Source organism: Homo sapiens, chromosome 15, assembly GCF_000001405.40.
Source record: "Homo sapiens chromosome 15, GRCh38.p14 Primary Assembly".
NCBI lineage: Eukaryota > Metazoa > Chordata > Mammalia > Primates > Hominidae > Homo > Homo sapiens.
The window spans coordinates 39,814,700-39,837,198 of NC_000015.10; the positions used below are offsets into that span (position 1 = coordinate 39,814,700).

Here is a 22,499-nt window from a genome sequence, read left to right on the forward strand (position 1 = left end):
TGGCTGGCCAAGCACACATTAGTACTTGGTTGCACTTTTGTGAGCCAATAAAAGACAATATGGCTGACAGATCATTCTGAGAAAGGTTAAGTTTGTAGCGAAATTTTTATCCTAGGGAGATGCAGAATATTTTAATAACTAAGGACATAGATCCTGAAACCCAACTCCCAGACTCAATACCCAGCTCTGTCACTTACCAGCTATGTGGTTATGGGTAAATTACCTTCTTTGTGCTTCAGTGTCATCATCTATAATGTGAACATAATAACAAAGTCTATGTGCAAGAGGCATTGTGAGGGCTAAATTAGTCAATACAGTAATATATGTACAGTGCTTAGAACTGCTTCTTGTGAATAGTATGTGCTGTTTAAGTGTTATATGTTACTGTTACTATTATTTACATGGTTTCAGAGGGAACCAAGAAAAGGTCTGAAAGACAGAAAAAGAGAGAGGTTTGGCCAGAGGAAAAGAAACATGGAGCTGTGTGTAGAGGAGACAGAAGGGGACAGCTCAGAAGGGAGACAGAGGGCCTTGGGAAGCAGCCAGGAATGTGACATGGTAGGACTGACTGGCCCCAGTTTCCAAATGGAACACTGAGGTCTCCCATGGGAGAATCACCCAGGTTTGCCCTGTGAAGGCCCCTTGAGTGGTGCTCCTCTGGCAGAATCACATCAGATTGTCTCATGTGGTCAGAACGGGTGCCCCGGGACCATGAAGTTTGGGCAACTGTGGCAAACTCAGTGCTCTTCTTCAGGCCTGTAGAGACACAAGTTGTCTCTCTCCTCCTTGCTGTCATCTGGATTCAGTGACTTCACAAAAGCCTTTCTTTCTCTCTAGCAGAGAGGGCAGGAACCACTGTGAGGCCTGCTTTTCCAAGAATGTTCAACCTTGACTCAAAGCAAACATGAAACATCTCAGATTAAGGATATCCCTTCTCCAGATAGGTCCTGCTTATAGAATCTATCAAGTCTACTATAAAACGTTCAATATACCACACAGAAAATGTAAATTAATACAGCCATTATGACAAACACCAGGGAGGTTCCTCAAAAAAGTAACAAGAGAACTATCCCATGATTCAGCAATCCCACTACTGGGTATATATCCAAAGGAAATGAAATCAGTATCTAAAAGAGATATCTACACTCCCATGTCCATTGCAGCATTATTCCCGATCACCAAGATGTGGAATCAACCTGTGTCTGTCAAAGGATGAATGGATAAATGGACGAATGGCATATATACACAACAGAATACTGCAGCCTTAAGAAAAGGAGGAAATCCTGTCATTTGCAATAACACAGATGAACCTGGAGGAGATTATATTACATGAAATAAGCTAGGCACAGAAAGACAAAGACCACATGATCACATTTACAGGTGGAATCTAAAACATCCAGAATCATAGAAGCAGAGTGTAGAATGGGCTGCCAGTAGGACGAAGCGTTGGAGAGATACTGGTCAAAGGACACAAACTTTCTGTTAGGAGAAATAAGTTCAAGAGGTCTACTGTACAATATGGTGACTACAGTAAGCAATATATTATATATTTACAATTGCTTTAAAATGTAGATTTTAAGTGTTCTCAGCACAAATAAAAATACGAGATAATGCACATGTCAATTAGCTTGATTTAGCCACTCCACATTATACACCTATTTCAAAATACATGTTGTACAACACAGATATATACCATTTTTGTCAATGAAAAATATTTTTAAAAAGCAATAACAAAATAAAATGTCTAACAGAATTCCTGCAGTAGCACACAAACATGACATGCCTTAATAGAATGCCAATATGAATTAAAAACCACACAAGGTTATGAAAATCAAAAAAGATATCAATGACCTTGGCATTGTTTCATTAAGAAAAAGTAAAAATCTCAAAGTAATGATAACTGGCTGATAGTGTTTTAAATCCAATTAGCTAGACATCTTGAAACAACCATGAGATTATTTCATCATTATGGAAAGAGTTTTCTAAAATGTTATCTGACCAAGGATATGTTACAAATAATAAAACAATGATTCTAACTATGCTTGGTTACTTGTTTAATAAAAGACAACAACCAGCCAGGTGTGGTGGCTCACACCTGTAATCCCAGCATTTTGGGAAGCCAAGGCAGGAGGATTGCTTGAGGCCAGGAGTTCAAGACCCACCTGGTCAACATAGCAAGACCTCATTTCTACCAAAAATAAAAATTAAAAATAAGAAAGCTTAGCCTGGTGTGGTGGCATGCACCTGTAGTCCCAGCCTCTTAGGAGGCAGAGGCAGTAGGATCACCTGAGTCTAGGAGTTGGAGGCTACAGTGAGCTATGATCACAACACTGGACTCCAGCCTTGGTAACAGAGCAGGATTCTGTCTCAAAAAAAAAAAAAAAGCTTTGAAAAACATTAATCAATCCAAGACATGTTCCCAGTAGGTAGCCAGCAAGCGCCCTTGTGCATTTAGGCTCACAGGATGAGCAACTAAAAATTTTAATCAAGACGGAAAAAAACTATTCCATTTTTTGCCACCATCACTAGAAAGCAGTGAAAGCATTCCTGAATATCTGAGGGCACTGCTCTATTTGTTTAGGTATAATTCAAATGTAGTTTCACTATGACACTTATTTTTGAAAAGAGTTGGTTATGTATTCATTATTTGTAAATAAATACATAAATATTGCCAGAGAATATTCATTATTTGTGAGACTGACACTTAAATCCATATTGAAGAATAGCAGAGGTACAAAAGTAACTTGATTGATTTCACTAAAGGGATTCAATGGTTCCCTACTGCCGTTAAAATAAAACAAGTTTAAACTTCTCAACATCATACAACACCCTTTAAGATATAACCCCTGGCTACCCGCACACCTACTAACTAACGTTGCAGCATCGTGATGGAATGGGATAATCCTGGAAATCTAAAGGTCAAATTCATGTTTTTCTCTGAGTCCTTACAGCTGCTGCCCAAGCAAAACCTCCAAAGAGAATTAGAAAGAGTAAGAGAGAGAGCAAGAGAGAGAGCGAGGGAAAGACAAGATAGGAATACAGAACTCCTCAGCGTAGAGAAGTCAAATGATACCTGGAGAGTTCAAAAAAAGGCACTGTTAAGCTCTGTGGAGCAGGGAGTATGACGGCGGGTGGGGAACCAACATTAAACAACTGAGTTTCATAGTTCACACTTCCAAAGCAAATAGTTCTAAAAAGTTCTAAATAGCTCTAAAAAGGATTCTATCTTACTTTGATTTTTTAACAATATTGTTCTTTAATCTATGCAGATACATTTTCCAAGTGACCAGAGAGTCAGTGTTGACAGAGTGATAAGAAGTTTTTTGATTTGAGGATTTTTGCTACTGGTATCAGAAGAATTATGGCCAAAGAATGTAGGGGAAAACCAGCTTGCAGCCATAGGGCTATGCCTGGCAGTGTTCAGTACAATTTGCTCTTCCTGCCAGTCTAAAAGTTTGAGCCTCTTCCTCACTAAAGAAGTGTCAGTTTGCTGTAACTTATGATTAAACTAATACCTGCCCAACTCAGTTTAAGCTGATTGCTATTGGCATGAGAAAATCATGTTATTTTAGCTACAATTAATTTGATTCCAGAGGATTTTTTCTGAAATGATGCAGAAAGTTCAAACTAAGCAGGAGTTGAATTAACAGGAAGAAGCTATGTAGTAAGTTCATTAAAATTCATGGTGAATATTAAATAATTACTTTGAATGAAAAGCATCTTAAGAAATATATATCCCCTATGGATGTTTCTTCTCAGAATACTTGTTCCCAAAGAATAATGCAGATAAAATATTAGCAAGATTCACTTCTGTAATATATAAGAATATATAAAGAGACTCCAACAATAGCTTCATCCAGTCAGCTCCTGTGAGGCCACACAATGGATTTTAGGTGAGTCTACAACAAATGCGCATATCTTTTAGCAATAATGGTATCCCAAAGGGTAAGGCAAACTGTACAGCACGATCAAAACAAAACTATTTCAGCGACCACAGTCAAGTCTGCCCCATCCTTGGGGCTCTCTCATGGAATTCACAAAGCCCCTGAAATTAGTCATTCACGTCTCTCAACACACAGCAACATAGATACGGAGCCATAAAGTAAGAAGAAAAACACAGTCAGAATCTGAATTGATAACTCTCCTCCTTATATTTTCAGTGACTTGAATTTTTTCCATATAAATCAACTGGAAAACTTTCACGGCTTCACAAGATGCTTTCTCTCTGGTTGCTCATATTAGGTCTATTAACCTCCTTGAGAAGCACATTATTCTCTGAAAAGCTATAGCAAGAGCCTTGAAATCATCAGCCCTACTTAGCTGTGACAGTGTTGAAACCCTTTAATAGCAACAGGTTCCACTTCCCTACTTCCCTTTCTATAGGTATATGGAGAAAACTTCCAGAGAAAAGAAGGAAAAGTTTTACCTAACTCTACCCATTGTTAAGCATGCTCCCTTTGGACCAGCATCCAAACAAGCCACGCTTGATGGAGTGGACGTGCAACAGCTCACTGTCTTAAATATCTACTACACAGGCTATCTTACCAACAGGCCCTTGCCTATATTAAATTACTCATGCAAAAGGCAGGGTCCATATCTTCTGCACCATTCACATTGCACTTAGGCTTCATGGGTTATTTCTCCCCTTGCATATTGTAAGATTAAGGAGCCTGAAAAGAACCTTATCTGAAAACTCTGTCAACCCTCATTAGCACCAGACATGGTTTTATATCTAGGGGTTGCTTCATAAAGACCTAAATAGATGAATAAATTAAAACCTGAAGTTTAATATAACTTAACAGCATCATCATTTTTTCCTGTGTACTCACTTTTATAACTATACCTACTGATGAGAACTACCTTCAACCAACAAGCTGAATGTTTACTATCTTCCCATTGCCAACACACAGTGTCAGAGCTGCTTAGAGAGATGTATTCAACAATGATACATCATGCTACACTGTAATTAGTCTAGTGAACGTACAGGGAATACTCATGCACTCTATTCTACTCCCTCTGTCCCAGTAACTATAATTATGCAGTCTGAAAGGAAAAAATATGTTGGAAATATTTCCAAAGACCCCAAGGGTACGATAATTAGAGGACTAAGAAAGGAAAGTGAGCCTGATCGTGCTTCAGTCCACTGGGACCTAGCATAGCTGATGTGAACTGGAGAAATAAGATTTTGGAAATGAAAGCTTCTTACTCCTTATGATCTGACACAATCTGACAATGACATTAATTAAAAGCTGAAAATATCATTCATTTTTCTATAGCTGAATTTAGTAGGCAAGGCAGGAGAAAAAGGAGAGGCCTGAGGGTAAGGAGCTAGAAATGGCATTCCAATTCTTCTAACAGATTTGGGACACTCTCCCACTACTGAGGAGGTTAAATTGCTCTAGAGCAGACCTCCTGTGTGTCCTTCACCACTTTCTCCTGTCCCTGCAAGGAAGGAGAAGGCCAGCAGGAGAGGAGTGTTTGCGCAGTGAGGAGCTGGGAGAGCCAGAATAGCAGATAGGGCAAGAGCTGGGGGTAGCCAGATCCAGGACGAGGCAGGAGATAGCTGGCCAAGACAGGGAAGGCTCTGGAAGGAAGTGATGGATCATCGAAGGTCACAGCAAGGTCAAGAATAGAACACTTAACCTTGCTCTGACCTGAAAGGATGAGTTATAGCTCACAGGCCATGAGAGCCAGCCAGCTCAATAAGAGAATGGAATAAATGCTCAAACAGAATGCTGGGAGCCTAGAGCTCTGTAGGAAGGAGGGAGAGGGGCAAAGTAAACAAAATAACAGATTGGCACAATGGTAGCATGGAAGGAACTTGATAACTAAGACACTCTGGCCTAGACCCAGAATATCTATGATTCTAGACCCAGAATAATATCTGTAGTAATATATATAATTCTAGCAGAGTATCTATGATTCCTTTTGAGGTAAGAACTAAACTGGCAAAGTGTATGTAAGGGCTTTGCAGATGTAACATGATTTTGGAAGTACTTGTCTGTAATGAAGTGCATGTGGGTGGGCAGAAACAACACCTTTTGGAAAGCAAATCCTAATACTTGCTTTTCTCTCTTTTCTTCTTCAGCCCTCCCTCAAGTAAACATGGAGAGAGTGGAAGAGAAGAGGGCAGAAATAGAGAGCAAAACAACAGGGAGACTTATTTCAGTTCCATTTCTCTCCCCATGCTAAGCGCTATTTTGTATAAGCATTTCCCAGTGACTTTAAGCAACGGAGACTTTCTGTGCCTGAATCTTCATTAGTCACGTTGCTGAAAACTGGACAAAAGGTTTCTTTGCTTTGTAACATTTTCTAAGCATCCAAGATTCATGATGGTGATGGCCACAGTGACACAGATACGCAGAGAATTCGCCTAACATTTTAGCATTTCATGAATAATCAGTTTCCAATTCCTGCATTTTTACTCTAATATTAGTTGATTTGAATAACATTGAGTTATTTACCATGTAATTTTCCTGCTGGTTCAAAATAATGCAATTTTGAAAATGCTATTAGCCTGTTTAATGCAGTAAGATCAATGAGGAGATGTGACCTCTTATTTTCTCATTATAAAACAAAATGCAAGGGAAAGAATTTTCTATCCTGGGAAAGATCGATTTTCTACTTTCTCAGTTTGTAAAATATTGGCTTTCACAGTGCAATCAATGTCACTGACTCAATGTGGATGAAGCAAATAATATAAAATATAAATCTGTTCATTTTCATTAAGCCACAGTTTCCATTAGTCTTGCCCTTGGTGTTATTCTTATAAAGGCTTAAGTATGCAAATACCACAACAAAAGACTGATCACTGGATGATAAATATTAGCCAATAAATTTTAATATTACCCTAAGTAAGGAAACAAAAGTGAGCATATATGCAAAGATCAGTGACATGCTGCAACTCTTTAAATTATTTTTCCAGTAAAGAACTCTGAAATTTTGTAATAGGGGTAAGAAGGTAATCTACAACACCAAATAGATTTTATATACTCATATGGATGGAAGGAACCTGGAAAAGTTATCTACACCTTCCTTGTTTCCAGATAAGATTATGTAAGTCTTATGTAACAGAAAGAAAAGCTATTTTTGCTAACTGTTAAGAGTTCTGGCAAAAGCAAATATTGTAAGCCCCTCTTCATCAGCCTCTAAGATGGTCAATGATCTTCACATCCCTGTGTGGGCCTCTCCCATAGTCAATGAAGTCGATATGTGTAAACAATAGGACATGACAGAAATGTCTGTGAGATTTCCAAGGCTAGGTCACAAAAGGCATTGCTACTTCTGTCCTCATCTCTTTTGAATCACTTGCTCTGGGGAAAGCCAAATGACACGTCTTGAGGAAACCCAAGCAGTCCTATGAAGAGGCTCATGTGGTAAGGAACTGGGGCCTCCTGCCAACAGCCATGTGAATGCACCAACTTGGAAGTGGATCCTCCAGCCCCACTCATGCCTTCAGGTGGCCACAGCTCTGGCCAACATCTTGATGCAACCTTATGAGACACCTTGACCCAGAAATACCCAGCTAAGCTGTTCCTAAATTCCTGATCTACAGAAATTATGAGATAATAACTGTTGCTTTAAGCTGCTATGTGTTGAGGTCTACTACTTAGACACTTTGCATAGACTCTTACTTCTTTCATCTTCAGAATGAAAATGATAAAATTTACCTTTTAGAGCTGTCGTATTAAATGAGATATATAAAAAGTGCCAAACACTGCCTCACTCATTACAGGTGTTAAATAACTATAATATCACAAAGCATTATTATTTGTGAGCTTTATTTTGCTGATCATCATGAAACTATAAATTAGTGAGACTTATTTCTAAGTCATAAAAGGCATCACAGTAGTTACTGAGCAACCACAAAATAATGTTTTCTCAGTGTCAGATTTTACTTACCCTTCCTTTAAGAAAACAAATTTTAAAAAATCATGTAAACTTTAAGCTCTTTTAACTCTTCAAAGTAAATCTCCTTTTTATTCTCTGACTTTCTAAGAAATATAAAGAACACCAAAACCTAAACAATTAATAGTTCTTAAAATAATTTTATCAGCTTAACTTCTTTCCATCAGTAAAATTAATGAAATCAGAAAATGTAGCTCCTTGACTGTCCAACCGTGATTTTTCCCTGATAAGTAGCTGTTGGAAACACCATAAAAGCCACAGTCAAGGCACATCAGTCACTAACACTGAGGGCTAGGCCTATGGGATGGCAATGAGGACTCAAGGATGGTAGCATTTACCTTTAGCCTATGGGATGACCTTAACCAGATCATTCGAAGGCCTTGGTCTGTTCCCAGTTGGACATTAGAAACTTCCAGCAACACTTATGTCCAGAGTACGCTCTTCTGGTTTCCCTGCTACTGCTTTGGCTATTTCTCAGTATTTTTTGCTGGCTTCTCTTCCTTCTTCAGGCCCCAGTCTTGACCCTTCTCATGCTATCCTCTTCTCTAGACTATTTTAGGTGAAATTTTAATAACTTTCATGTGTATTGTTCCACTTTACCTCTTATCTGAGCTATAGACCCAAATATCCATAAGCCAACCAGATATCCATATGCCCACTTGACTTCTTTACTTTGGACTCTCACAATCATCTTGGACTTAACATGTCCAACCTAAGCATTTGACCTTTCCCAAAACTCTTCCTCCTCCAATATTATCCATCTCAGAAAATGATACCTCCATCCCCCTGGTTGCTCATGTTAGAAACATGGGAATCCTTGCCACCTTCTTATCACTTGGCCCCACATCCAATGCAATATTTAGTCCTGTCAACTCTACCTACAGAATAAATGCATAATGCAGCTGCTTCTCTCCATCCCCACTAGCACCACTCTGGCCTGTCACCCTCACCTCCACTGCTGCAGCTCCTCGCTGGTCTCCCCACACTGCTCCTCCAGCCCATCTAACACATTCTCCACACCACAACCAGACCAACAATTTTAACAGCAGTTAGGAACATCACTCCCCTTCTTGAAACTTCCATTGCCTTCCCATTGTTTGTAAAGGGAAAAACCAAAAGTCTAGCCTGCCCACCGCTAGACTGTGAGAATTAGGAAAGCTGTCCCTTCCTGCTCCTTACAATAGATGACAAGTCTATGACTTTGAATGTGAATGGTGCCCCCTAGAGTACTGCTATCCTACGGACAAGGGAGAGTAGCAGCCCCATGGGCCTTCACTTGAATCCCTAAAACTTCAAAGTTCTCCTCTGCCTGGGTGGCTGATATGGTTTGGATGCATGTCCTCTCCAAATCTCATGTTGAAATGTGGCCTCCATTGTTAGAAGTGGGGCCTAGTAGGAGATGTTTGAGTCATGGGGGTGGATCCCTTATGAATGGCCCGGTGCCATCCCCATGGTAATGAATGAGTTCTCACTCTGGTGGTTCACACAAGAATTGGTTGTTTAAAAGAGCCTGGCACTTCCTTCTCTCCCTCTTGCTCTGTGTCTCGCCATGTGACATGCTGTCTGGCTCCCCTTCGCCTTCTGCCATGACTGCAAGCTTCCTGAGGCCAGAAGCAGATGCTGGCACAATGCTTCATGTATAGCCTGCAGAACTGTGAGCCAAATAAACCTCTTTTCTTTTTAAATTACCTAGTCTGAGGTAGTATTTTATAGTAATGCAAACTGAGTAACAAAGGAGGCTTCCCAGACCCCCAAACAACCGTTCCTTCTGCCCTCTACCTCATCCTCACTAAGTTTACCTCACTTTTTAGGTCTTCTTCCAAGAAACCCTCCCTCACCACCAGAACCACCAATGCACATCAGGCCTGCCTGGCTTCAGTTCTCATCATACTGATTATTTCTTGTTTGTAGCAATTATTATATTGAGGATTAGTCAACTATCTCTGCCAATCTCCACTAAACTGTAAGTTTTATGAAGGTAGGGATCTCATCAGATATTTTTACCACTATAGCCCCAATGCCTAGAACAGTATCTGGTAACCATGAACACTAAATATGTATTTGTTAACTGGAAAAAAATGAAAAAGCAAATGAACATTGGGAAGCATATTTCCACTAGCTCCATGCTTACTAGTTATGTAGGATCCTAGTTGGATTCCAAGTTTGAGGGGAACCCAGAAACAAGATGCTGAGCTACATATCCACAAGCTCAACATTTTATCCCTCTACCCCTCTGCTTTTTCACAATGAAAACAGTTTTAGTTTCTTCCTGATTTTTTTTTAAACTAATACATGTTTACTGTTACAATGGTTCAGGCTGGATGTGGTGGCTCATGCCTGTAATCCCAGCACTTTGGGAGGCCAAAGTGGGAGGACTACTTGAGTCCAGGAATTTGAGACCAGCCTAGGCAACACAGGGAGACCCTGTCCCTATAAAAAATAAAGAAAAATTATCCAGGCTTGGTGGCACATGCCTATAGTCCCAGCTACTTGGGAGGCTGAGATACGAGGATCACTTGAGACCAGGAGGCCAGGGCCTCAGTGAGCCACGATCACTGCACTCCAGTCTGGGCAACAGAGTAAGAGTCTGTTTCAAAAAAAGAAAAAAGGTTTAGAGAAGTATAGGAAGAAAGAAAAATTACCTGAAATCCCACCATCTTAAGAAAAGCATGGTAAATATTCTGGTCTTCACTTTTTCATACATGTCTCTGTGAATATATACACTTATATACTTAATTTTATGTAAGTGGCCTATCATTTACACATGCTGTTCTTTGTGGATACCATCTTCTTATATATATAATGTGAATATACCTTTCTCCATTATCATTATTTCATCATATATAAACATTTACATTGTATTTACAGACATATGGTATTATTATTTTGTAAAAATATAATTTTATTTTATATATATGCATTACATAATGGGAAAAATCTCCCTATTCCACAGTGTGAATATATTACAATTTATTCAGCCTTTGTCCTACAAATGGGCACTCGCCTTGTTCATGGGTTTTTGCCATTATAAACAAAAAAAATTGTATATAAATATGCTTATTTTCTGGTGTTTTTATATCTGTGATATTGATTTCTCATTTCCGCCAGCAATATTTGTAGAGCCTTTTCCCCAAAAATTCCTGCCTGCAGCAGGTGCTATCACATCTCACTGATTTTTGCCAATCAGTGGATGAGAAGCTTGGTGGAGACCCAGAAGGAGTAGTCCTGTGCCCAGTACCCAGTGCTTCATGGATGAGGCATCATTTTTATGGCATATGCTTTTCCAAATGCATTACTATAACATTTCTGAAAAGTAATCCAGCTGGTTCAGGGTTGGATGGTTCTCTGAGTCCACCATAAGTGCAGCAACAGGTCTAAGTGAGTCAAGCAGATCCTCTTACCTCAGAGCCCTGTCTCTCACATCACATTCACTGCCGTTATGGGGGAAGAACCCCTAAGAGGGTGTGAGCACGCACTGCTCTGGGATGCCTATTTCATAGCATGCAGGATGAGAAGGACAGTGTGCCAGGAGAGGGAAACAAAAGCAAGCTTATGCCTCAGAGGAAAGCTTCAATCCACAACAAATAACTCCCCAGGATTGTGCTGAAATTCTTATCCGAGAGACATGCCATCTGGGCAAGCTGGAGCAGGGCAGCAGATGAGGGAATTGACAGTGAAGGCTAGAAGTAGAAATGGAAAGTCACTTCTAGAAAAACCCATTCACAACTCAGCAAAGCACACTGAAAAGGGGTCCACTTCTGGAACAAGGTTGAGAGATTTCCAACTGGAGTAAAGACAGGACCCCAGGGGTGCTTAAAAGTCACAGAAAACCTCAGGAAAGGGGGACCACTGAGAAATATGGATAGCTGAGTAGAAGGTCCTCCCCACCTACAGGGGGCTCCTGCATGTTGTGCAGTGTGCAGGGCACAGCAAGGTGACCATTGCAGAGCTGGGCAAAGCCACAATGCCCCTAGCAACTGTGAACACACATTAGCTATTCTTTCCTCTACATTAATGTAACCTTTTCAAATGCCATTTGCTTGAAACCCATCTTTTTGATTATTTTAAATTCATACAGCACACATCAGCTCCTATGATTAAAATCCAACCTGCTCATTGAAGCTGCTTCTTCAGCTCTTGCCTGGAGTAAACAGAAGCCAGAGGGGGCCTGAAAACAGTCCCAAAGATGCCATCAGAGTCAGCCTCCAAGGAAGAACCCTGACCACTGACACAGTGTATCCTAATGAAATGGGGAAAAATGCAAAAAACTTTCCACCACTGCTTGGCAGAATAACAATAATAATAATATGATCAAGTATTAAAAGGTATGAAGATATAAGCATCCTTATATGTTTTGGGTGGTGTCCACTGAAGAATGACGAGGTTCATACATTTGCAAAGGGGAGCTTTATTTCTCACAAAGGGTTGAAGCCTTCAGGGTGCCATTTTGACAGGCTGGAGGCTATGCTAAAAACAGATACTTCAAGGGAGGGGAAAAAAGGAACAGGAATTTATGCTAAACAATGTGCTCAAATATACATATTCAACAAGCTATAGGAGGAGCATGAATATATATGAAAGGAGAAATGTACGCACATGCAGTTGAGCTTCATGCCCTTTCATGGGTCTCATGTGACAAAAATAGCAGCATTAGCATGATCTAAGGGTGGAGTTTTCAGCCCTCTGCTGTCAAAAGGTGAAGCAGAGTACATGTAGGGCTTTACTGTGCCCTCTCCAGACTGGCCAGAGCCACTCCATGGTCAGTGGTCTCTTATCAGGCAAAAAAGGAGGGGCGGCATGAGGTTGTTAGTTGATATCAGTGTGGAGTCTTTTGAAAGAGTTAGTTTCTGTTGAACCCTTAGAGAAGAAAGTCTAATAGAAGTTAATGAAGGAGAGGGCATAAGGAAGCATGCCCCATCTTCTTCTATCCCACTGTGGCCAAGAACTCAGTTTTCAAGGTTACTCTGGGGTCCCCTTGGCCAAAGAAGGTCCATTCAGTCAGTTGGGGAGCTTAGAATTTTATTTTTATTTTACAGTGGACAGGTAGATTGCTACAGATATCTGAAAGGTAGGTTGGCAGTATCTATTAGATTGGTGCAATTGTGGTTTTTGTCATTACTTTTAATGGAAAAAAACACAATCACTTTTGCACCAATCTAATATTAAATGCATGTACCTTGCACAATCCTACTTTTGTAAAACTATCCTACAAATAAAAGAATCAATGTATAAAGTTGTGTGTTCAAATGTGTTTGTTGAAGGGTTGTTGACAGTGACTCTCAAATGAAAACAATCTGAATGTCCATCATTAGGATAAATTGTGGCATGTCCCTATGGGTACACAGAGAAATATGTGGAAGGCTACATCCTAGGCTGTCAACATGGATTATCTCAACTGAAGTGGTATTGGGAGATGGTATAATAAATGTGTGACTTAATTTGTTTATGAAATAGACAACTTTCCACCCCTAGCTAGCCTGGTGGTGAAAATGTCATCTTTAGGGATTAATTTTTCTATTTCTAAAAGTCTGTTGTTAAAATACAAATATTCCTGAAGTTGTTTTTCAGCCCTTAATACCCAGAGGTGGGAGAGAAAATGCTGTGGTTGCTTTCCAGCCCCGACAGCAAGCTGACAGAACCATCTTAACTAGGACAGGTAGGTGTCTGTGTGGGAAAGGCAGGAGGAAAGGCCTCCGGCTCATGGCCTGACTGACATGCATCTCGTTGACACTAACATGTTGTCTAGGAAGGAGAACCAAAAGAGAGGAAAAGACACTGCGTGGAGGGGCTGATGGGGCACATACATTGACTGCTGCCTGAGGCCAGTGCTACTTAGGATGCTGCTCAGGTTTCCTTCCTGGTTCTTTGGGGATTAGCACAAGCACTGAGTTGGCCCTCTGCCAGCTGGAGGGGCCGCCAACAGGGATTGCCAAGGGGTCAAAGAATCAGCATCACTGGCTGAGAGAGCAGCTTTACCAGCAGAGATCAAAGGTGCCAGACGTGGTTTCTTTTGATTCACTCAGGGAGCAGGACAAGTAATCAGAAAAGTGTGATTTTCCTCTGCTCCAATAAAATAAAAAAACCTGCCGTTGTTATAAAGCACCAAGAGAATCAATAAGAGTTTCAGGAGACATTGGCACACCTCACAGGCAAAGCCCTGGAAACAAACTACTGCTTTCACCACAGTGTGAACTTCAGGGCAGAGGCTCTTTGGCTTGGATGAGTTTACAGTACAGCAAAACTGTCCTCCCCGTCACAGTGTATGTGGAACGGTATGTCCATGCTGGAGTAGCTGGAATGTAAGTAGATTTAGTGTGCTAACATTAGAAAGAATGATACTACTAGCCAGAATTTAGTGAATACTTATTGTCTAAGTATGCGTATCATGTGATATTTGCAAGAACTCAATGAGTTAGGTACTATTCTATCCCATTTTAAAAATAAGGAAATTGAGGCACTGAAAGGTTAATTACCCAAAGTTCTAGAAATAAGAAGCAGTGGAGCTGGCATTCAGACAGAAGCAGTTGAACTCCAGAGCCTGGGATGTGATCACTACGTCACACTGCCTTCTCATGAAGAGACAACACCTCACAACGCAACCCCCAACACTGAGAACAAAGACCAAAGATGTGTCGCTGGAAAAGCCACTTGGACTCGGGCATCAGAATGGATCAGGGAAAGAACTTGGTGAGAGTAAGAAAGCCATGAGGTCACAAAGAATGCCAAAGTTCCATGGGGGCAATGTGTGCGCAGGACACAAGGAGCTCACAATGCTCTGAGGTCAAATCTAGGAAAGCCCTGTAGAGTGAGGTTGCAGGATCTACAGGGAAAAGTGAGTCATCTCAGGAACAAAGGGTGGGCTTGGGGACACATCCAGAAAGGACTTGAGACCATTAGTTGCTTAACAGACTATGGTTTAAAATTAAAGTAGAAACAGCTAAACCATATCTATATGATCTAATTTGTTTTTGACTACTTTCTCTGTTATAAACACTTATGTTTATTGATTTCACTTTATTGGTATTGTTCCCACCCACCTGAACGCCTGGTTATCTGTCTTTACAGTTCCAATCTGAAGATTTTAAATCGCAACCTCAAGGCCAACATTCACCCATTCCTCAGTCCCTGTCTCTCCTTTCCAAGCTGGGAAATTGGAGGAAGCCTGTCCCAAACAGGACAGCCTCTGCCTCTGAGTTGGCATGAGTACAACAGTTTTTTTCTCTAAGTTGTTCTACTACCTAAAGCTGCGAGGTTCACACAAGGATGGGTGATATGTGTTAATTGGAAAGTATATTTTATCTTCTCTGTCTAGAACAACTCAAATAACTTTGTATATTCTTAATACCAGTACTGTTATAATTATATAATTTAATTTATATAAATATATATATACACATTCCCAACCAGTTAGCTAAATAAATCTGTGACTAATTCACAGAATTCAAATCACCGTGTGTATTCTGCATCATAAGACAACTAGTATGAAGAAAATCCTAAGGTAGTGCTAAGAACATATTATCAGCATTTGTTCATTTTTCTGACTTAATTAAGAGTTACAAACTACTACTCTTTGATACTGAACAATCAATGAGCTGTGTATAAGAGAATAACAAAAATAGTTTACTTATTCAACAAACATTTATTAATTTATTAGACTGCAAGGCTCTGAGCTAAGTACCAGGTTTACAAAAATAAACAAGACAAAATCTCAAGGAGTTGACAAACGAGTTTGACATATAGATAGATAAGTATTTACTAAACAAATGATGGAGGAATATATGGGAAGAGGAAGGAGGACCCAATGGGCTGGAGTGGGAGGTGGAACACCACAAGAGGATACACTTGATCTGAGTCTTGGCTGGAAGACCAGGCAGACAAAAGAGAGAGACAGGACTGGAAGAGGGAGCACCCTGGGCATGCAGGCAAGTTGCACAGCATGGATATGGCAATAGCAAGGAGTTTAGTGAGGCCAGAGGCTAGAATCACTTTGAAGAAAAAAGTGAGAGTCAGCAGATGAGTTGCCAATTAAAGTGACTCTACTCTGTGTGCTAAATGTTAATAGCTGCAGCTATGCAAAATAGAAAAAGCAAAAATGTTCACAAATGACATGAGATTTCAACTTTAATGCTCTATTTTCTTAATTCTAAAATATCTCATTGATTTAAATAATACTTGATTGTAAAACATAACCCAATTTAAGAAATGTTAGAATATGAAAGGATGAAGGAAATAAGTCAATAACAACTGCTAGAAGGCCTCATCCAAGAGAATATAAACAGAGACTCTCACACAAAAGTGGACTTCTGCTTTGCCCCAGAGTCAATGTCAGTATAAGCAAAAGCCTCCACTACATTCCATGTTTAGTTTTCAAGCACTTCAAGATCAAAGAGCATTATCTTTGAACGTTTTAAATTGATTAAGCTAATTTAGAGTCATTAAAAATGGAAACAGTTCTTTTTAGCTTAAGGTTGGAACGGGGGAACCTTTTGGAGACCACTGAAGCATGTGTTAACTTGGTTTTTAGGTACTTGAGCAAACAATGGAAATTTGGAGTTGCCTTGGTTTCTATGACTGCCAAACCTCAGCAGATAAAGAATCTTCTGCCAACCTCTCTGCATCTCCTACATTGGTTCCTCTTTCGTGTCTGTTTCCTCAAAAGATGTTCCTATCCCTAACTTTCTTTTCTTCTCACACTACACAGTCTCCCCAGGTAATCTCAGCCACATCACAGCTTCAGCTAAATTGACCTGGTATTGATGCCTACATGTGTCTGTCCAGCCCAGACCTCTCTCCTTAATTTCAAACTCATGTCAAACAACCCATTTCCCCATGGATGCCTCACAGACACCTCAAAGTCAACATGGTTAAAACTAAATCCATTGTTGGTTTCCTACCTGCCCCCAAATGTTCCTGCTCCAGGGCTCTCTATGTCCATAAAATGTACCTCCTTCCACTCAATGGCCCAAACCAGATATCTAGGATTTTCTCAAGCTACTTTTGCTCTTAAACCCTCACATCCAACAAAATACTGTAGATTTGATTATCTCCCCTAAAATCCTTCAATCTGTAAACTCTTCTCTGCCCTACCACCACAGCCCTGGTTTCAAACCTCGTAATTTCTTGATTGCATCCCTCCAGTGGCCCAATATCTCTCAGCCACTAGTCCTCTGTCTCCTCCTTCCATCAGCCCTCCGTATCCTCCACTGGCTCCTCAGAATGTTTCCTAAAATACAGAATTGATCAGGAAGCCTGACTTTATATCCGTCATTGACTTCCCTTATCACTCTCAGTATTTTATCCCAAATCCCTGGTGCATGGTATACAAGGCTCTTCATGAACTGTCCCAGAATTGGTCCTGCTCCCTCTAATATCACACACATGTGCATGCACACACACACACACACACACACACACACACACCATGTTCCAGTGCAATGAAGGGGGCAAAGGATCTGAACAGACATTTCTCCAAAGAAGACATACAAATGGCCAATAAGCACATGAAAAGAAGCTCAGCATCATTAGCCATTAGATAAATGCAAATCAAAACCACAATGATAAACCACTTCACACCTACTAGGATAGCTATAATCAAAAAGACAGATAATAACAAGTGCTGGTGAGCATGTAGAGAAATTGGAACCCTCATAGACTGCTGGTGGGAATGCAAAATGGGGCAGCCGCTTTAGGAAACATTCTGACAGTTCCTCAAAAGGTTAAACATAGAGTTCCCATGTGATTCAGTATATTTGTTTCCAATTGCTGCTGTAACAAATTACCGCAAACTTGCTGATTAAAACAACACAAAATTATTATATTACAGTTCTGGTGGTCAAAAGTCCAAAGTGATTCTCCAAAGGCTATAATCAAGGTCTCAGCAGGTCTATGTTCCTTCCGGGGGTTCTAGGGGAAAATCCATTTTCTTGTTTCTTCCAGCTTCTAGAGCAAGGGTGTCCAATATTTTCACTTCCCTGGGCCAGACTGGAAGAAAAATTGTCTTGGGCCACACATAAAACATGCTAACGCTAATGATAGCTGATGAGCTAAACACACACACACACACACACACACACACACACACAAATCTTATAATGTCTTAAGAAAGTTTACAAATTTGTGTTGGGCTACATTCAAAGCCATCCTTGGCTACGTGCAGCTCAGGGGCCACAGGTTGGGCAAACTTGTTTTAGAGGGTGTCCCTGTTCCTTGACTTGTGGTTCCTTCCATCTTCAAAGCCAAAATGGCTGGTCAAGTATTAATCACAGTGCATGACTCTGGCACTTTCTGCCTCCATCTTCTATCTTTTAAGGACACTTTGGATTACACTAAGGGCACACTCAGATGATCTAGAATAATCTCTGTATTTTAAGGTGAGTTGATTAGCAGCTTAATTTCATCTGCACACTTAACTTCATGTCCATTTACCATGAGACTTAACATATTCATGGGTTCCAAGGACTAGGGAATGAACATCTTTGGGAGAGAGTGGGGTTGGGAGCATTATTCTGCTGCCTCCCACACATACGGCAATTCCACTCCCAAGTATACATATCCAAGAAAAAGGAAAACATGTCCACATAGAAACTTGTACAAAAATGTTCATAGCAGCCCTCTTCATAATAGCCAAAGAGCAGAAACAACTCAAATGTTCATCAAGAGATGAATGGACAAAGAAAATATGGTATAATCATACAATGAAATATTAAAAGGAATAAAAAAGAATGATGTGCTGATACATACTACAACATGGATGAACCTCAAAAACATCATGCTAAATAAAGAAGTCAGTAACAAAAGGCCACATATTGTACAATTCCATTTGTATATGTCCAGGATAGACAAATCCTTAGAAACAGAGAGTAGATTCATGATTGCTTAGGGCTGAGGGCGAAGGGAACTTGGGGGGACATGTGGATACTAATGAGAAGACAGTATCTTTCTGGAGTTATGAAAACATCTGAAAATGATTTTAGTAATGGTTACACAACTTTGTAAATATGCTAAAAACCAGTGAATCATACAACAAACAGCAGTGATTTGTATGGTAAGTGAATTACATGTCAATAAAGCTGTTATTCCTAAAAAATGAGTCAGTACATTACTGAAGATATGAGCACAAAACTGAGGAAAGTCCTAATATTTATTTAATTACACTTCCCTTAAAGGTTGCTTTTAGTGACTGTTTTGCTGGGATTGCGGTCTCCCAATTAAGTCAAAGAATAAAGACAGCTGGCGCAGAAATGAGTCTGGCACCTCAGACAGTGGCCCCAATTTCATGCACTAGAGGAAGCCGACATTGCTCCCCTATTGAGATGTGCCTCCTGCTCCCCAGGAAGCCATGAAACAGGGCAGCAATTAAACACATGAAGTGTTCTGCTTTGATGACATTCTTTTTCTTTCTCACACACATGTACACACAGAGAGAAAGTCCATTTTCTATTAATTCTCCGCAGATATTATAAGTGCATTCTATGTTTCCTCCTTTCACAGTTCAGTAGTTTATTCATTTTGCTAAGAGCAAGCTTGTTGTAGTCCCTAATAACAAATCACAGGCAAAATTAGAACCCAAACCTAGCACAGACAAATCTCTTACGAAGAAAAAGAATCCAGCTCTGAATATTTCCAATTTAAAAAGTTTTAAACCCACTGATTGACAAAAGCTATAAAATTAATGTGAATTAAAAATATTATATTCCATGAAGATTTATTATGAGAAAGAAGCCAATCAATTATTTTCCATTTTCAGAGAGTTGGAAAAGAGAAAACAGAACAGATTACATCAGAGATACTTTTTTAAAACTAAAAAGGAATATTTTAAGGATGAGCAAGCCCTATAATAAGCTTCCAAGAAGGGTTATGAAATCTCCCTAGAGTCATTATACCACTTAAGATTAGGTTTGGGTAAAGATTTGGAAGCAACCTAAGTGTCCACTAACAGATGAATGATAAAGAAAATGTGATACATATACACAATGGAATACTATTTAGCCATTAAAAAAGAAGGAGATCCTATCATTTGCAACAACATGTATGGGACTGGAAGTCATTATGTTAAGTGAAGTAATCCAAGCACAGAAAAACAAACTTCACATGTTCTCACTTTTTTGTGGGAGCTAAAAACTAAAACAATTGAACGCATGGAGATAGAGAGTAGAATGATGGTTAGCAGAGGCTGGTTAGGGCAGTGGTGGGCTGAGGAAAAGTGGGGATAATTAATGGGGTCAAAAATAGAATGAATAAGATCTAGTAACTGATAGACAATGGGTGATTATAGTCAATAATTTATTGTACATTTTAAAAAACAAAAACAGTAATATTGGAATGTTTGTAACACAAAGGATACCGGCTTGAGGTAATGTATACCTCTTACCCTAATGTGACTATTACACATTGTATGCCTATATCAAAATATCTTTTTTTTTATTTTGAGACAGAGTTTCGCTCTTGTTGCCCAGGCTAGAGTGCAATGGTGCAATCTCAGCTCACCACAACCTCTGCCTCCTGGGTTCAAGCAATTCTCCTGCTTCAGCCTCCCGAGTAGCTGGGATTACAGGCATGTGCCACCATGCCCGGTTAATTTTTGTATTTTTTTAGTAGAGATGGGGTTTCTCCATGTTGGTCAGGCTGGTCTCGAACTCCTGACCTCAGATGATCCACCGGCTCGGCCTCCCAAGGTTCTGGGATTACAGGAATGAGCCACTGTGCCCGGCCAAAATATCTTGTACCCCATAAATATATATACCTACTATGTACTCACAAAAAATAAAAATTAAAAATTTTATTAAAAAACAAAAAGCAAAAGATTCAATTTTGCTAAATATAAAATAACAGCTTAAGGAAGACAAAGAAGTTTTTCTGTCTCATATAAAAATCCAAGAGATAGTCCAGGACTGATTATAGGAGCTCTGCCCCAAAAAATTCTCAGCATCTTTATAGCTCATTATTCCACCATCCCGAATACTGGGCCCCCATTCTCAGAGTCTAAGGTGGAAGCTAGAGCTCCAGCAAAATATCTGTATTTCAGGAATTAGGGTGGAAAAGGGATGAAGAAGCTGGAGAAAGGGCAGTGAGTATCACCTGTCTTTAAGGAAAACTGCAGGAAACTCTTATGTGACACTTTGCATCAGTCATGTGACCATACTGGTTGCCATGGAGCCTGTCTTTATTCTGGAAAACAATGTGTCCATCTAAAAACAGAGTTTCAGGCCTGACATGGTGGCTCATGCCTGTAATCCCCAGCATTCTGGGAGGCCCAGGAGGGCAGATCACTTGAGGCCAGGAGTTCGATAATAGCCTGGTCAACATGGCAAAACCCAGTCTCTAATAAAAATACAAAAATTATCCAGGCATGGTGGCACATGCCTGTAATCCCAGCTACTCAGGAGGCTGAGGCACAAGAATTGCTTAAACCTGGGAGGCAGAGGTGGCAGTGAGCCAAGATCGTGCCACTGCACTCTAGCCTGGGCAACAGAGTGAGACCTGTCTCAAAACAAACAAACAAATATATAAGTAAATATAAAAAGAGTGTTTCTATTGTTCTGGAAAGAGTGGAAAGGATACTGGAAAACATACCAGGGTCTTGGCCACTGTCATCAACACTGATATTGTTTGTCAGTCTGTCTTCTCCAAATCTCATGCTGAAATGTGATTCCCATTGTTGGAAGTGGGACCTTGTAGGAGGTGTTTGGGTCATGGGGGCAGATCTCTCATAAATGGCTTGGTACCTTCCCCTGAGTTCATATGATATCTGGTTGCTTAAAAGAGCCTAGCACCTCTGCCTCTCTCTCCTGCTTCCTCTCTCACCATGTGACATGCCTGCTCCTTCTTTGTCTTCCTGCATGAGTGGAAGCTTCCTGCCACCCTCCCCAGAAGCAGATGTTGGCACCATGCTTCTTGTACAGCCTGCAGAACCATGAGCCAAATAATCTCTTTTCTTTATAAATTACCCAGTCTCAGGTATTCCTTTATAGCAACATAAATGGACCAACACAAACACCCACCTCCTTAATTTAGGCAGACTCTTCAGAAGGCACTTCTTTTTTATAAAATTTATAAAGAGACTGAGAGAGACTTCTAGGGGGACAGGGCTATAAAGTTCACATAAATTTGTTCTAAGAGAAGGAGAAAGGGAAAACCCTTTACTCTGGGTCCCCTTTAGTTTGTTAACCAACAAAATTAGTTCTGGAAATGTCCTTGTTCTTTGAGTCAAAAACAGTACTTGGCACATGGAGATGCTTACTAAATGTTTGTCAGTGAGCAACTGGATTCATGGCAAATAACAATAATGCAGTGTTACATTCAACTACATCAATGTGTTCTAGATATTTTTCTGATCCTATATATGGGGACATCTGACTAATACCAGAAGTCATCATACACAGAGGGTAATTAACTGAAGGTGCCGAAGAGGTAAAGTCAATTCTTTAAAAAATGTTGAAGTCTATTCAAACTGATAACAAGAAAAAGCTGAGTTATCAGTCTAGGGAAGGACTTTCACAATATCCACTGCCTAATGGGAGTCTGGTCTTGAATCTCTTCTAAGCTTTTCCATTTTCGCCAGTCATCTTTTAAAGACCAGAACTCATCTTTTT

General features: G+C 40.1%; 1 protein-coding gene across 6 annotated transcripts in view; it reads right to left on the bottom strand.

Annotated features, from left to right (window-relative positions):
* Positions 1-22,499, bottom strand: part of GPR176 (G protein-coupled receptor 176) — a 121,259-nt gene that overhangs the window by 15,692 nt on the left and 83,068 nt on the right. Inside the window, exon 1 of one of the 6 annotated variants that reach the window (NM_001271855.2) lies at positions 14,382-14,577. The exons of the other annotated variants lie outside the window; for them this stretch is intronic. Within the exon in view, the coding sequence (NP_001258784.1) occupies positions 14,382-14,418 (37 nt within the window). The 5' untranslated portion in view covers positions 14,419-14,577. Of the gene's footprint in view, positions 1-14,381; positions 14,578-22,499 lie in introns of those variants that run through there. 6 annotated transcript variants of the gene reach the window in all.